The sequence below is a fragment of the Homo sapiens genome, chromosome 15 (genome assembly GCF_000001405.40).
Source record: "Homo sapiens chromosome 15, GRCh38.p14 Primary Assembly".
NCBI lineage: Eukaryota > Metazoa > Chordata > Mammalia > Primates > Hominidae > Homo > Homo sapiens.
This window is the reverse complement of record NC_000015.10, coordinates 67,056,825-67,072,263: the sequence shown is the minus strand read 5'-3', so window position 1 is coordinate 67,072,263 and position 15,439 is coordinate 67,056,825. Positions and strand designations below refer to the sequence as shown.

General features: G+C 49.3%; 1 protein-coding gene and 1 long non-coding RNA gene across 5 annotated transcripts in view, besides 9 other annotated features; one reads left to right on the top strand and one right to left on the bottom strand.

Moving 5' to 3' along the window:
* Positions 1-6,662, bottom strand: part of SMAD3 (SMAD family member 3) — a 129,568-nt gene extending 122,906 nt beyond the window's left edge. For all 4 annotated transcript variants that reach the window (NM_001407011.1, NM_005902.4, NM_001407013.1 and 1 more), the window contains exon 1: positions 5,904-6,662. In NM_001407011.1, the coding sequence (NP_001393940.1) occupies positions 5,904-6,109 (206 nt within the window). In that variant the 5' untranslated portion in view covers positions 6,110-6,662. The remainder of the gene's footprint in view (positions 1-5,903) is intronic.
* Positions 5,336-6,104: an enhancer, noted in NCBI's record as "H3K27ac hESC enhancer chr15:67358498-67359266 (GRCh37/hg19 assembly coordinates)". NCBI's record gives its function as "activates a minimal SCP1, AML or CMV promoter by ChIP-STARR-seq in naive H9 embryonic stem cells {active_cell/tissue: H9 hESC(naive)}" and the evidence as "EXISTENCE:reporter gene assay evidence [ECO:0000049][PMID:30033119]".
* Positions 5,446-5,535: a silencer, noted in NCBI's record as "silent region_6577". NCBI's record gives its function as "represses an Ori minimal core promoter by ATAC-STARR-seq in GM12878 lymphoblastoid cells {active_cell/tissue: GM12878}" and the evidence as "EXISTENCE:reporter gene assay evidence [ECO:0000049][PMID:35858748]".
* Positions 5,556-5,615: a silencer, noted in NCBI's record as "silent region_6576". NCBI's record gives its function as "represses an Ori minimal core promoter by ATAC-STARR-seq in GM12878 lymphoblastoid cells {active_cell/tissue: GM12878}" and the evidence as "EXISTENCE:reporter gene assay evidence [ECO:0000049][PMID:35858748]".
* Positions 5,866-5,915: a silencer, noted in NCBI's record as "silent region_6575". NCBI's record gives its function as "represses an Ori minimal core promoter by ATAC-STARR-seq in GM12878 lymphoblastoid cells {active_cell/tissue: GM12878}" and the evidence as "EXISTENCE:reporter gene assay evidence [ECO:0000049][PMID:35858748]".
* Positions 6,066-6,225: a silencer, noted in NCBI's record as "silent region_6574". NCBI's record gives its function as "represses an Ori minimal core promoter by ATAC-STARR-seq in GM12878 lymphoblastoid cells {active_cell/tissue: GM12878}" and the evidence as "EXISTENCE:reporter gene assay evidence [ECO:0000049][PMID:35858748]".
* Positions 6,396-6,885: a silencer, noted in NCBI's record as "silent region_6573". NCBI's record gives its function as "represses an Ori minimal core promoter by ATAC-STARR-seq in GM12878 lymphoblastoid cells {active_cell/tissue: GM12878}" and the evidence as "EXISTENCE:reporter gene assay evidence [ECO:0000049][PMID:35858748]".
* Positions 7,644-8,414: an enhancer, noted in NCBI's record as "NANOG-H3K27ac hESC enhancer chr15:67356188-67356958 (GRCh37/hg19 assembly coordinates)". NCBI's record gives its function as "activates a minimal SCP1, AML or CMV promoter by ChIP-STARR-seq in naive H9 embryonic stem cells {active_cell/tissue: H9 hESC(naive)}" and the evidence as "EXISTENCE:reporter gene assay evidence [ECO:0000049][PMID:30033119]".
* The window catches only part of SMAD3-DT (SMAD3 divergent transcript), a 79,976-nt gene continuing 72,618 nt past the window's right edge, over positions 8,082-15,439 (top strand). Inside the window, exons 1-2 of the long non-coding RNA NR_135686.1 lie at positions 8,082-9,148; positions 13,052-13,124. This is a non-coding gene — a long non-coding RNA (SMAD3 divergent transcript). The remainder of the gene's footprint in view (positions 9,149-13,051; positions 13,125-15,439) is intronic.
* Positions 9,572-9,716: an enhancer, noted in NCBI's record as "145 bp enhancer 189 fragment used in the MPRA reporter construct; PK_construct_1843". NCBI's record gives its function as "activates an SV40 promoter by MPRA in HepG2 cells {active_cell/tissue: HepG2}" and the evidence as "EXISTENCE:reporter gene assay evidence [ECO:0000049][PMID:23512712]".
* Positions 9,638-9,651: a transcriptional cis regulatory region, noted in NCBI's record as "HNF4 motif; enhancer activity is reduced when this motif is scrambled". NCBI's record gives its function as "necessary for full MPRA enhancer 189 activity {active_cell/tissue: HepG2}" and the evidence as "EXISTENCE:site-directed mutagenesis evidence [ECO:0005528][PMID:23512712]".

Here is a 15,439-nt window from a genome sequence, read left to right as displayed (position 1 = left end):
ATCTCCTAATAAATTAACAAGTAAAAATTAATGGTCGCTCAGTTCATTAAATCGTGTTAATTTTATTCCATTATAATAATACAGCAATCACATGTTTACATTATTAAACCAATATTTATTTTTTAACTCATTTAGTTGGATTCCTGATGTGATAAGCTTGAAACAAATTCTTTCAATTTCATCAACTTCTTGCATTTCTCATCAGAATTAAATGCGACTGTATTCATATTTTTCTGTTATTAAAATTGTCATTTAAAACTTCACCCTTGCAAAGACTTTTTAAAAAATATACCACTAAAAGCACCTATGTTCATTCAGAAACTCAGGCGTCTAGGATTTATTCTCAGCAAGTGTTAACTAGAGAAATGAGAAGCTAGGTCACACCGAAGCTTTGAATTTCAAAACAACCATCTGCAAGTTGTCCACTTTTCATTTATTTATTTATTTATTTTGAGACAGAGTCTCGCTCTGTCGCCCAGGCTGGAGTGCAGTGGCGCGATCTCGGCTCACTGCAAGCTCCGCCTCCTGGGTTCACGCCATTCTCTTGCCTCAGCCTCCCGAGTAGCTGGGACTACAGGCGCCTGCCACCAAGCTCGGCTAATTTTTTTGTATTTTTAGTAGAGACAGGGTTTCACCGTGTTAGCCAGAATGGTTGTGATCTCCTGACCTCGTGATCCGCCTGCCTCGGCCTCCCAAAGTGCTTGGGATTACAGGTGTGAGCCACCGTGCCCAGCCAAGTTGTCCACTTTTTATTAACACTCCCTGTCATATTCTGAGCTGATACATCTAAAGTCCCTGTTCCCACCAAGGAAACCTGAATTTCAGTTTGCAGTACTAACTTACTTTTTACTTCAAAGAGAAAATGCTTTACAGTGGAGTAAAATATAGCACCCAAGTCACTAGCTGTTCAGTGCCAGTTACAAGGTAACATATTTATAGCAGCACTCAGTTTAGTAAAAGAGGATAAAGACGTCCTCATTCTTATAGGGAACTATCCCCATGTACCAAAAAGTTCCCAACATCATACTGCAGTCCAAAAAGCTTCCTTTGGATAACCCTTGTCCCCTTCTTAGTTTTCCACCTCTCATGGGTTCTCCTCCTCTCTACACCTCCTCCCACAGAATTAACTGTGTTTCCACATTGCTGGGCACTTAGCACATTCCTCAGCTGCAGCTCATGCCTCATACCTTTGGGCAAGTCTGTCTCCCGCTCTAGACAGGGAGCTCTTTGAGTACAGGGACCCTGCTGTGGTCATTGTAGTATGTTCTCAACGAAGGACTGAATAATTCAATAATGAATGAATGATGCAGAATGAAGTATAAACGTAACATACCTGTCAAATTCTCTGGTTCACAAAACACTTCCACAGAACTTATCTCATCCTGACTTGACAGGTGCAGATATAAAAGCTGTGAAACTTAAATGGATTCCCAAATCCTTGCAGGTGGTAAAATGGCAGGTACAGGACCTGAATTTTGTGTTTTTTTCAGAAAAAAACAGATGCCTGTCATTATTTTATTTCCTAACATAGTGAATTCTACAATATTTAAAAGGCACATCAACGCCCGCCCCCATCAAAAATCATCCATACTAGATCTCATATTTCTACTGGTAGCTGGGAATGAGAAAGAGATAGCAGTTAGATACTCAAATAATGCCCTATTCATGTTTCCCTTACTGATGTGTAAGCTTCTCACAGGCTGGGAGCTTCTCAAACGTGTCTCTGCATCCTCCTCTGGTACCTAAAAAATTGACTCAGACATGGGAGGGTCCAATAAATATCAATAAATCAACAAAATCCAGCCCTGTAACAACAGAGGGGCTGTCTGCAAACATTCCACTCCCAGGTGCAAGCAGCATGTTCCAAGGTTCTAAATGTTCCCAGGGAACGTCAAGTGGCGCCTAGGTTCAGCTGCAGCTGAGTCAGATCCCTCATCAGCTACCTATTGTCCTGCAGGCACCTCCTCTTCTCAGGCCCTACGTGGAACTCCCCTAATCAAACTTAACAAGAGCAAAGAGATAATGGACCACCTCCCTAGCAGCTGGAAGGGGGCTTGCTTCCAATGGGCCACACGGGCATGGTGCTCTGAAGTGCAGCCAAGAGAAAAGGGAGGCCTCTACAGCCTTAGTAATAGGTCTATCCCCAGAAATCTGGAAAAGGCATGTTAAAGACTAGGATCTTTTTCCTTTCTCAAAGTGAGAGTACCCTGGCAAAAGTCAAGGAGATAATAAGAGGAGGCTACAGTAAAAGATCAGATTCGGTGAGGCGCGGTGGCTCACGCCTGTAATCCCAGCACTTTGGCAGGCCAAGGCGGGCAGATCACAAGGTCAGGAGTTCAACACCAGCCTGACCAACATGGTGAAACCCCGTCTCTACTAAAAATACAAAAATTAGCTGGGCGTGGTGGCGGGCGCCTGTAATCCCAGCTACTCGGGAGGCTGAGGCACAAGAATCGCTTGAACCGGGAGGCAGAGGTTGCAGTGAGCTAAGATCATGCCACTGCGCTCCAGCCTGGGCAACAAGGCAAGACTCTGTCTCCAAAAAAAAAACATCAGATTCACAGGGAGGGAGTAGATGCTGTGTGTCAGACCTAGTGTTTGCTTCAATTCTCCAATTTTCCACTGGACTGGGTGCTCTGACACAAGAAAGCCCAAATTCCCTTCCAAACAAGCAATGCTTTAAGCTTGGTCTAGCTCCCAACAACGAGGCCAAGGCATGGATTCCCTGGTGGAAGTACAAGCTACCAGTGTCTACCAGAAAACTAAGTTTTAAGTGTGCCGAGCTCCTTATTCCTCATATAACGCTCACACACCAACTCTCATTCAGCGGCAAATGCTTTGATTCCATTCTTATAAACTGGCAAGGAAGATACCTGCAGCTTTACTCAGGTACTCAAGCAGGTGAGGCATGAGAGGCTGTTATAAAACTTGTGTAAATTCTGCCAATCCTGCCAGACCTCAGAGTATCCTGACAGCCCCTTTGTTGGTGTATCTAAATGAAGCTCTTACCACTTCCTTGGCACCAATCTCTTTCACCTTCTTTATGTCGATAAGTGTGTATCACGCCAGCTCCCCTGATAATTGAAACAAGTCAGAGCTGGTGTCACAGAGAAGCAAGCCTGTGGTCTGGAAGTCCCTAGTATACAGCTCTAATTGCCAAATGTTGCTGTTGCTGCTCATGATTATATATTAGCCAAAACACACTTGGCTTAATCTCCTTAGACTGAGGGCTCCTTAAACCCCGGAGTCCAGATCTTGCAGAGTGTTTTTAAGCACCCAGTGACCAACCCCCCACACACAGGGGGAATGACTAAGTTAAACATTTTCCTTTCTCTACTTTCCAAACTAAAAGGCAGTTGTGGTGAAAGCAGACAATTTGACAAGCAACACTGCAATCTATGGGGCTTAGCAGACACATTGATATCACCAGCACAGGGCCAAACCAGCCACCTCCCCAAGACGTGGCCTTTAGTTTTCTGCCCACGACCAAAACAGCAGCAGCTGTTGCCAAGGGACACAAGGTGACCCAGAGGCGTGGGCACAAAATCCAAGGATGAAAATCCATTTTGTCTGGATCCACCCAAGCAACTGGGTTTCCCTAACTGAAAAAAAAGATGAAAAAAAAAATCTACTTTTGTATTCAGTCCTATCCAGGCAGGCAGAAGATGCCTCAGTCCTAACAAAGTCACGAGAAGGCCACAGGGCAGGTTGGCTTGAACTCTCAGAATCATCCAAAGCGTTCACACGTCTTAGGCTTCCAAAGTCTCAGCAGGACTTTGGAAGAGGAAAAGGCAGGCCAAAGGTATGGCCCCACAGAGGACAAACTCCTACCAAGGCAAGGGAAAGCAAGGCCTCTCTGCCAAGCTATCACCAGCCCAAAGATTAAAGAAGCAACCGCACATACAAAGATCCACAGGGCCCTCCCCAAGCTAACACAGCTTTAGCATTCAGCAAAGAATGTATTCAGGATCTTCAAAGTATAAAGCAGCATGGGGCAGCAGAAAGAGCACATTCAGGCAGAACCCCATGTCTATGACTCAAGCCTTTTCACCTCTCTCTTTTAAGGTTTCCTCTGCTTTAAAAATGTGATAATCTTAAGCCTAACAACCTTATCTACTTTCCATGGCTGGTTGCTTGCTTGCTTTCTGTCTTTTTTTGAGGACCTCAGAAAACCATGTGAAAGTGCTTTGTAAACTGTGAAACACTTTTCACAGCTGCCTGTTTTACAATTGATACCACTTTTTTTCTTCTGTTTCAATACATAAAGCACTTGTCTTCAATGCACCCAGGCAGATAAGGAGAAGGTAGGTTTGGCAGACCCCTCCCCAGAAAGAGAAGTAGCATACTCACCCACTCTACCCTAGCCACCCCCACGGAAGGAATACAGAAGAATTAACAACCAGAGCTGGAACCAAATCCCAGGTCTCTCTGACCATCACATCACACCACCTCCTCTGAAGTCAATTCTGGCTCCCGATCACACGCCCAGAGACTTCCCCAGACAGCACACCGCCTTCCCTCCCCCTTTATTGACTGGATCCACCCAGTTAAAAAAAATTTAAGTCCGCACTCCCACCATATGTGGCATTTATTTCCAGGGGAGGCCTGCCCTCGGTTCCCGTGGACAGATGTTGCTTTGTGCCTGCCTGACTCGCCTGGCAGCCCCTGTACAACTGCCCCAAGCAGGTGGCCAAGGATGGAGTCCACCCTGGCCCAGGAGCAGGGATGACAATCCCTTTGCGGCTGACAGTCCCTGGTGCTTTCTACTCATTCCTCGGCAGCCTGGGACCCCCAAAAGAGCCAGCCCCCAACACACACGCTCTCTCCCTTGGTTCAGCATCAAAGGAGGCTGAGAGGTAGAGACAGGAAGCCAAGGTACCCGCACCCCCAGTTCCCAGCCAGGCACATCTAAGCTAAGGAAGGCCCTGGGGGAGTGAAGTCACTGACCCCTTCTATCAGCCATCTGTGGGCTCCCGCCCGACCTAGCTAGCGCGCAACGGGAAGGATAAAGGAGATCCAGACAGATGGCAGCGCGCTTTGGGAAGGAAGGCTCTACAGGAATGCGAGGGCCGATGCGAGGCCCACTTTGGGGTGTGTTTTGTTATCTGCCCGGCTGCAGCCTGCCCCTCTCCCTCGTTCTGCACGGTTTCAAAATCTCTTGGACCAAAAGAAGGGCAAAAGAGTCGGGATGGGGGGGTGGGAGGTGGGAGAAGACCCTATTTTCCGCCACTTGTCTCTCCCATTTGGAAGTCAGAGCATTGCACTGCAACCAAAGTGCGTGCATGCTCAGGGGGCGGGAGACTGGCACAACCGAGTCTAAAAATACTCGATAAAAATGCTAATCCCGAAGGCAAAGAAAGAACGAAGAAGGAATCTGTCAATCACTAGGCTCCCGCTCCTCACCCACAGCCCCAGCTGTACGGACCGCATTCCTGTAGAGGAAAGTGGGGAGACCCGACTGAAGAAAAGAAACGCAAAGACACCACCACCTCCACGAGCGCGGGCCGCGGGGGCGGGAGGCGGCGGCGGAGGAGGGGCTCCGGCCCGCGGAGCCGAACAAAGCGGGCCTCAACTTCCAGCCCCAGCTCCCCGGAGTGGGGGCGGCCGAGTCCCGCAGCAACCCGCTCTCCCCTCCCGGAGGTGGAAAGGGAATGTGAGGTGTGGAAGCCAGAGTGCCGCGTGGAAGCCTCGGGCTCTGATCTTTGCAAATCAGAGATGGTTTTGTTTGGGGTCCCCCCACCCCCTTCCTGCCCGCGCTCTCCCACTCTCACACACACGCACCCACACAGTCTCACTCCCTCCCTCTCTCTCCCTCTTCCCATCTCCAGCCCCACTGGGTCGGCCCCGCAGTGCCAGGGGGCTGGGCCGGCGTGACCCCGGGTCCCCCCCGGGCGGGCCCCCACCTGGGGATGGTGATGCACTTGGTGTTGACGTTCTGCGTGGTGATGGCCTTCTCCAGCTCGTCCAGCTGCCCCGTCTTCTTGAGTTTCTTGACCAGGCTCTTGACCGCCTTCTCGCACCATTTCTCCTCCTGCCCGTTCTGCTCGCCCTTCTTCCAGCCCAGCAGGCGCTTCACGATCGGGGGAGTGAAAGGCAGGATGGACGACATGGCTGGGGAGGGCGCGCGGGCGGCGAGGAGCGCCCCCGGCGGGGCTGGGCTCGACGGGACGCCGGGGGCGCAGAGGGGAGCTCGGCCGGGGCCTGCCGCGGTCGCCCAAACTTCGCCTCAACTCTCGGCGAAGTTGCCGGGGCGCCGGGCCGGGCCGCGGCGCTGCAGCCTGCGGGGCTCGGCGCGCGGCCCTGCGCCCGGAGCGGCTCCCACGGCGAAGAGAAGAGCGGCCGGGCGGGCGGACGGCAGCAGTGCAGGGTCGGGAAGGCCCCGAACGCGGGGCGGAGGCGGCGGCCGCGAGACTCCAAGTGGCAGCAGAAGTTTGGGTTTCCGCACGGGGTAGCTGTTTGGGTGCCGCCTCCGGGAAGGAAAGTCCAACCCCCGGCCAAACTTCGCTCGCCTCGCTAGCTTTGATGCGCAGATCCCTCCGCCTCTGCGGCCTCACCGCCCCGCCACCCTCCTCCTCCCGGCTCGCCGCTCGCTCGCTCGCTGGCTGGGCCGGCCCGGGGCGTGCGCCGCGCTCCCGCTCCCGCCCGCTCCCAGTCTGTGTTTCATGCAAATCCGCGTGCAGCCTCCTTTCCAAGTGCTGTCACCGCCCCCTCGCCGCCGGGGCTCCCCGCCTCCTCCCCCGCGCCCCGCCACCTCCTCCCGCGGGCGCCCTGCCCGCCCCCTGCTCCGGGGAGGGCGCCCGGCCGGCCACCACCCCGCGCCCAGCACGCCCACGTGGGCGACCCGGGCGGCGGCAGTCCTGGCTGGAGCGCGCGGGACCCTGCGCGGCCCCGACCTGAAGTCGGGCGGGCGCGGGGAGGAAGTCCTGGGAAACACGGCGAGAGGGGCCTCGGGCGGGAGGGCTGAGCGCGGCCCGTGGCGTCCGCTCTCGGAGTCCACACTCGGGCGGCTCGGTTGGAGTTGCGGGCCGGAGAGGGTTGGACTCGCAGCAAGTAAGCGTCGTCCGGACGCGAGTGCACCCTGGAGAGGACCCGAGCCCGAGAGGGGGCGCGCGGAAGGCCCGGGCCCAGGAAGTTGGGGCCCGCACTTGGCCTCGCGCTTGCTGATCCCCGTCAAGGCCCTTGGCCGGCGCCGGCGCCCCTGGGCTGTTTTTATTCTCTAGTCGGTGAGATCACACCGGCCGAGAGCCTCGGGAACGTGTGCGGAGGAGGAGGGGGTGAGAAGTGGGTCCTCAGAAGTGGAGAGCTGGGGACACCAGTGACAACCTGGACAATGGCTGGAGCCAGGGGTCTCTTGAGCCTTGTGAACCGAGTGCCCGGCAGAAAATGAGCCTCAAGGACATCTGTTGAGTTCTTGAAGGAATGAATGGAGGGGCTTTCGAATTTATCTTTGAAAGAAATTTACATAACAGGGTGTTTGTTGCTGGATCTCCTGATAGAGAAGGATCGGAAATTTGATAATTGCCAATAAATGGAAGAGAGTTTTGTTTCCAAAGCAATGAACTCACAAAAAAGTGGGGCAAGACAGGAGTTTTCGGAGAGTTTGTGTATTCAAAAAAAGCAAAACAACAACAAACCAATTGGCACATTGGGGAGCTCCGCGGCTTTTCTCCCCACCAAAAGAATTCAGGGGCGTCTGCCCGCAGGGCCCTCGGCGGTTTTCAGGAGCTACTCCAGGCCCCTCGGCCTTTCTCTTGCTGCCTCCCGCAGCCGACTAGCCGGTGTCTAAGCCCTTTGTTTGTTTTTAACAGCAGGAATCTCCCACCCCCACCCCTGCTTTGTTAAAAAAAAAAAGTTATCTGGAACCCTCAAGTGGGTGGGGAGTTACAAAGCCCTGTGAGGTGTGGCGGAATCCACAGTCAGCCCAGAAGCGGCAGGGGCCCTTGCCTTGCTCCGGAGAACCGCCTCCCACAAGCCAATCCGCAGCTGCTGCTGCAGAAGTGCGCTGTGCTCCTCACCCTCCTCTCTTCCTAAATACCCGCCTGAAAAGGAGAATACGTGAAAGCCAACTGAGGCTTGACAACCTGGCTTCCGTTCCTTGCTGGTCCTCCTGTTAACGCGCTGCCGCTGTGGTCTTAGGTTTCACTCTCCTCTTCCCGTCCGTCAAGAGAGACAAGGATGACACAATCCACATTTATTGATTGCTTTCTTCATTCCGGGTAGTCCGCCTGCTGCCCTTTGATTCAGTCTTAACAGTGGTTGGTGAGGTAGATGTTCCTGTGCCTCACGTTTACGGAGGCACAGAGAGATTACATTACTTACTCAGGGTTCCAAGTGGCAGAGCTGGAATTTGAACCCAATACTTTGTTGAAGCCTCAGTCTCCGATCTTGAGACTGCACCCAGCTGCCTGGGTCACGGAAGGCAAAGATGACATCATTGATCGAGCTCTTTGCAAAACAGTTCTCTACACGGGCACACTGTTGTAACACTGCAAGGATTATTTGCTCACCTGTAAAATGGGGCTAGAGGTAGCTTCCCTCGCGATCTCCTAGGGTGGCTGTGGGAAGCTCATGTGAAAAGGTTTGCATTGCTAATGCCATGAAAAGTGGTGGAGGGAGGTCAAATAAGTTTAACACACATTGACGGAGCAGCTCTGAGTTGCAGCCCTCCTATTCAGTTCCTGAACTTCCAAAATAAAAGACTAAGGTTTTCAAGGCGTTCACAGCCTAGAGAAGCATCAAAGGGTGGGGATGAGGATGATGTGACTGAGTGGGCAAAGATGGGCAGGGGCCTTGCAGTCATCATCGTCCAGTAAAGTGTTAATCTTAACCTGAACAAGTCCAACCATTGAGAGGTAGCCAAAGAAAGTAAGAGGGGCTCAGGATCCATCAGTGACTGGCCTGGCTTCCAATCCCGGCTCTTTCTCTTCTTCCCCTTGGGCAGCGTCCGTTCTCTCCGCTGTAAGAATGGAGCAAGCGGTTCTCACTGTGCAGAGTGGTGGATCCAGAAAGAGCATTGTAACTGTCCTCCTGTAGTTCAAGTCCTTTATGTTACAGAGAGAGCAATGTCTGCTGAAGGAGAGTGATTTGCACTGTAGAGGAAGAGCGTCAGAGAGATTTGAGGATTACATGTAGTAGAAGGACCTGACAGGTACTTCACCCTGTAAAATCATGGTATGGGAAGGGGCCCTCATTCAGCCCTCTCATTTTCCTGAGGGGAGGAAATAACTAGGCAGCCAGCTAGTTAGTGTGGCAGAACCATGCTTCCCTGCTGGCATCCGTGTGACAAGAACAGCTGTGCATGCAGAAAAATAGTGCTGGACCCACCTACAAGTCTAATAAGTGCCATTTCTGGGCTAGTTCTTTCTCCTCAGGCCTGTTTCTCCAAGAGAAGTCCCTCCACTGGGGGACTAAGTCCAGTTTCAGAAAGCTCTGAGGAGGGCTGAGGAACTGATTCTTCCAGTGCTGAGAAGACCCTGCATGTTCTCTTGATCTTGACTTTGGGCAGTGAATGGGTGGGCTGCTCTGGATGGGTACAACTCTGTTCTGGCACCTGGTCTTTTGGGGCCCAGCCATACCTGCTTTTGCAGAGGTTGTCCTTGGGAGGGAAACATTAGCCCAGTTAATTTTTCACCATGGTAAGTGCAAAGTTCAGGAGAGGTGGGATGGAAGTGGAGACAGCAACTGTTTCCCTGGGAATAGTCCATCCTATGAACAGTTCACCTCGTGAATAGACACATCAGAGGGTTTTCGTGTATTTGGAGTGGCTCCCAGGTAGGCCAGCCACTCCAAATACACGAAAGAAACAAACACCTGACTTCAATTCTGATTATTTTCCCATTAGCTTAAGGGTATTTAATCAACAAGTAGTGAATCTAGAAAAAGCATTAAAATCATCTTCATCTTACACAGACAGAAAGTGATGTCTGTAAGGGAAGGTGATTTGCACTGTGAAGATAAGTAGCCAAATCAGGACTAGAACTTTTATCAGAGTGCCCTCACCTAAGAGAGAGCCTCTGTCTACAGTCAGATCTCTACCTATAGCTCTTTGTAACACCTTACACGTGTGAGCTCTTCTGTGGCACCAGAATGACCTGGGTTAAACTTCTACCTCTTCCACTTCCGGCTGTGTGACTCTGGGCACGTTCCTTAACTCTGTGTGTGTCAGTTTTCTCATCCATAAAATGTGATAATTACAACACCTTCTTAGGATTGCTGTATGGAATCAGATTAAATCATATAGAAAGCTTGGTACAAGCACATAGTAGGTTCTCAATATACATGGATGTGATTCATGCATACTATAAAGTGCTATGCAAAAGTGAGAAGCAATGAATTCCATGTACATAAAACAAATGTATAGATTTTAAACACAGTTCCAACAGAAAATAGTAAGACACAGAGGGAAAGGAATAGCATAATGCTACTATGTAAAACAAATTACATATACACAAAATAATTATATACATTTTGAAAGAAGTTATACAAATAAAAAGATATACATTGAACCACTTCACATCCATTAGGATGGCTATTATCTTTTTTTCTTTGTTTTTGAGATGGAGTTTCGCTCTTGTTGCCCAGGCTGGAGTGCAATGGTGCCATCTTGGCTCACTGCAACCTCCGCCTCCCGGGTTCAAGCAATTCTCCTGCCTCAACCGCCTGAGTAGCTGAGATTACAGGCATGTGCCACCCACGCCTGGCTAATTTTGTATTTTTAGTAGAGACGGGATTTATCCATGTTGGTCAGGCTGGTCTCAAACTCCTGATCTCAGCTGATTCCTCCCACCTTGGCATCCCAAAGTGCTGGGATTACAGGCGTGAGCCACCGCGCCTGGCCAGCTATTCGCTTTTAAAAAACAGAAAATAACATGTTGGAAAGGATGTGAAGAAATTAGAATCCTTGCACATTGCTGGTGAAGATGTGAAGTAGTGCTGCCTCTGAGGAAAATGCTGTGGTGTATGTATGGCAGTTCCTCAAAAAACTGAGCAGAATTACCATATGATCCGGTCATTCTGTTTCTGGGGATATACCCAAAAGAATTGAAAGCAGGGACTACGAGTATTTCCACACCCATGTCCGTAGCAGCCTTATTCACAACAGTCAAAAGGTAGAAGTAACTCAAGTGTCCATCAATGGATGGGTGGAAAAACAAGATGTATTGTAGTCACACAATGGAATTTTTAAATTTTATTTATTTATTTATTTAGAGACAGAGTTTCGCTCTTATTGCCCTGGCTGGAGTGCAGTGGCGCGATCTTGGCTCACTGCAACCTCCACCTCCCAGGTTCAAGTGATTCTCCTGCCTCATCCTCCCTCGTAGCTGGGATTACAGGTATGTGCCACCACACCCAGCTAATTTTGTATTTTTAGTAGAGATGGGGTTTCACCATGTTGGCCAGGGTGGTCTTGAACTCCTGACCTCAGGTGATCTGCCCGCCTCGGCCTCCCAAAGTGCTGGGATTACAGGCATGAGCCGCTGTTCCTGGCCCATACAATGGAATATTATTTAGCTTTAAAAGGAAGGAAATGCTGACACATGATACATTGTGGATGAACCTTGAGAATATTATGCTAAGTGAAATAAACCAGCCACAGAGGAACAAAAATTGTGTGATTCCACTTACAGAAGTACCTAGCATAGTTAAATTCTTAGAGACAGGAAGGAGATAGTGGTTGCCAAGGGCCAAAGGGAGAGGGAATGGAGAATTATTGTTTACTGGATATGGAGTTTCAGGTGAAGAAGATGAAAAAACTCTGGAGATGGATGGTGGAGTTGGTTGTACAACAATGTGAATGCAGTCAGTGCCATGGAACTGTACACTTAAAATGGTTAAAATAGTCAATTTTGTTATGTACATTTTACCATAATAAAAGAGTAGGAATAGGCCAGGTGCGGTAGCTCATGCCTGTAATCCTAGCACTTTGGGAGGCCAAGGCGGGTAGATCACCTGAGGTCAGAAGTTCGAAACCATCCTGGCCAACATGGTGAAACCTTGTCTCTACTAAAAATACAAAAATTAGCCAGGCACGATGGCAGGAGCCTGTAATACCAGCTACTTGGGAGTCTGAGGCAGGAGGGTCACTTGAACCCAGGAGGCAGAGGTTGCAGTGAGCAGAGATCACGCCGCTGCACTCCAACCTGGTGACAGAGCGAGACTCCATCTCTAAATAAATAAATAAAGTGGGAATAAAATGGTAAATATTGAACAGAGTAGAATAGATGTTTGAGTGTGGGTGTATGGGAGAATAGAGGATAAGGCTAAAGAGGGAAAATAAATAAGTGCATTCAGGTGTGTATGACTGATGTGTGTAACTGAGGAGTGTGGCTAACTTTACCCTACTGCTCTAACGTAGTGTTCAACATACATTAGTCAATAGACCAATTGCTCTCTAGTTTGTTCGAAAGATAGAACCTTTGGCTTCCAGCACTGTTCAGTTCGGTGGTCATGATATCTTACATGTGGAGAACTTAGTCAAAATTATTAAAAATTCCTGTCTCACAGCAACCCCTAAAACATGCAGGCTTAGGCGTTGCCCTATCTGACAGCTTAGGGAACAGAGGGCAGGAGATTAACACCATTTGTGGGGCTGCCCTATGCCAGGACTGGGCTTGGGACTTCAAGGATGTGGTCATGTTTAAAGTTCTCAGTGTCTACAAGATGATTGTTGCATTGCTGCTTTATGGAGGAGGGACCAGAGAGGCAGGCAGTTCAGCTGTTGTTGGCCCAAGCTTGACTGGCCGTGGAATACCAGCCCCTTACTGCTAGCCCAGCGTGGGTCCCTATGTCCCCAAAGCCCACAGCAGAATTTCTGGCGTGGATTACAGAGTGTCCTTGGGAGAATGACTATGACAGAAGGAGCTGGATACAGGTACTGTCCAAGGAAAGTATTGAGAGAGAGCAGGTCTGACTCAGAAAGATTTGGGGCAGGGGGTTGGACTTGGGGCTGTGTGCAGACCGAGGCATGGGGCCAAGGCTGAGCTGGGAGCATGGGACAGGGCTGTGGGCGGGCACTTGGAGCCCAGGGCAGGGTTCACAGAGCTATTTTCAGTTCTCTTGCAGGATCTCCTTCCCAGCCTTCAGAAATTGCCGGTCTGGGAGTTGGGGGCAAGGAGAAGATCCTGGTAAGTGTGAGGTTGTGTGTGTATGAGTTTATTTTTTACCATTTATGTGTGTCCTGGTGTGTTGCACTCTCTATGCATACAGGGGTGTTGTGGAGATTCACATGTGTGTGCATGTAAGATGTCTCTGCCTGTGCCTCTGAGGTCTTGTTCACATCTCATTCTTTCAAAGTCCAGCCCCAGTTATTTAAGTGAAACGGGTACATGTTGTGTGAGTTTCCTCTCTGAATTCATATGTTTTTGTCCTTGCGTACATCTTGTATGTACGTATATATGTTTATAGAGGTCACTGTGTTTTCCGTTTCCTATTTTCCAAGATAATAAAGTCACAAATCAGTCTTGGCTCAGGCCCATGGTCTATGGTTCTGTTAGCAATGTGGACATAAAAAAGAGTAGTTGGAAAATTGTTGGTCCATTATAGTAGCATTTACTTTTAAAAATACCTGCATATGAACAGCCACCAGAGAGGATGCATTGAAATGAAAATAGAGTTCTACAAATGCAGTGAGAGTGTATGACCTTAAATTATTTTTATTTTTTTACATTAAAAATAATAGAGGCATGTTATTTTTACATTAAAAACAACAGAGGTATAGAGGTCCGGCACAGTGGCTTACTCCTGTAATTCCAGCACTTTGGGAGGCCAAGGCAGGTGGATCACCTGATGTCAGGAGTTTGAGACCAGCCTGACCAACATGGTGAAACCCCTGCCTCTACTAAAAATACAAAATTAGCCGGGCGTGGTGGTGCATGTCTGTAATACCAGCTACTCAGGAGGCTGAGGCAGGAGAATTGCTTGAACCCGGGAGGCAGAGGTTTCAGTAAGCTGAGATAGCACCACTGTACTCCAGCCTGGGCAACAAGAACGAAACTCCATCTCAAAAAATTAAATAAATAAAATCAACAGAGGCATATACCCAAAGGAACTAAAAGCAGGGGCTTAAACAGATATTTGTATGCCCCTGTTCATAGCAGCATTATTCATAGTAGCCACAAGGCGGGAGCAACCCAAGCATCTGTCAACAGATGGAGAAGCAAAATATGATATAGACATACAATAGAGGATTGTTCAGCCTTCAAAAGGGTTGAAATTCTTTTTTTTTTTTTTGTGACGGAGTCTTGCTGTGTCGCCCAGGCTGGAGTGCAGTGGCGCAATCTCGGCTCACTGCAAGCGCCGCCTCCCGGGTTCACGCCATTCTCCTGCCTCAGCCCACGGAGTAGCTGGGACTACAGGCACCCGCCACTGCGCCCGGCTAATTTTTTATATTTTTAGTAGAGACGGGGTTTCACCGTGGTCTCGATCTCCTGACCTCGTGATCCACCCGCCTCGGCCTCCCAAAATGCTGGGATTACAGGCGTGAGCCACCGCGCCCAGCAAAAGGGTTGAAATTCTTACACATACTACAGTGTGAATGAACTTTGAGACCATGTTAAGTGAAATAAATCAGTCACAAAAGAGCAAATGTTCTATGAATCCACTTATATGAGATATGTAGAGTAGTCAAATACAGGCTAGGCGTGCTGGCTCATGCCTATAATCCCTTTGGATTATAGCACTTTGGGAGGCCAAGGCGGGAGGATCACCTGAGGTTGGGAGTTTGAGATCAACCTGGCCAACATGGAGAAACCCCGTCTCTATTAACAATACAAAAATTAGCCGGGTGTAGTAGTGCATGCCTGTAATCCCAGCTACTACTCGGAAGGATAGCTTGAACCCTGGAGGTGGAGGCTGCAGTGAGTGGAGATCACACCACTGCACTCCAGCCTGGGAGACAGAGCGAGACTCCATCTCAAAATAAATGAATAAATAAACAAATTCATAGAGACAAAAAGTAGAATGGTGGTTTCCAGAGGGTTGGGTAAGAGGCGATGAGAGTTAGTATTTAATGCGTACAGAACTTCTGCAAGACGAAAAGAGTTCCAGAGGTGGATGGTGTGATGAGAGCAGAACAAGGATGAATATACATAATGTCACTGTACTGTATACTTCATAATGGTTAACATGGTAAATTTTATTATGTATATTGGGCCACACTTTAAAAAAAATAAATTTTAAAAGGAAATAGGGTATACTGTATAAAAGTTATAACTCAGTGAAAAAACAGATTTTAAAAAGAGAAGGAGGTCAGGCACGATGGCTCACACCTGTAATCCCAGCACTTTGGGAGGCTGAGGCAGGCAGATCACAAAGTCAGGAGATCGAGACCACCCTGGCCAACATGGTGAAACCCTGTCTCTACTAAAAATACAAAAATTTGCTGGGTGTGGTGGTGGGTGCCTGTAGTCCCAGCTACTTGGGAGGCTGAGGCAGGAGAATC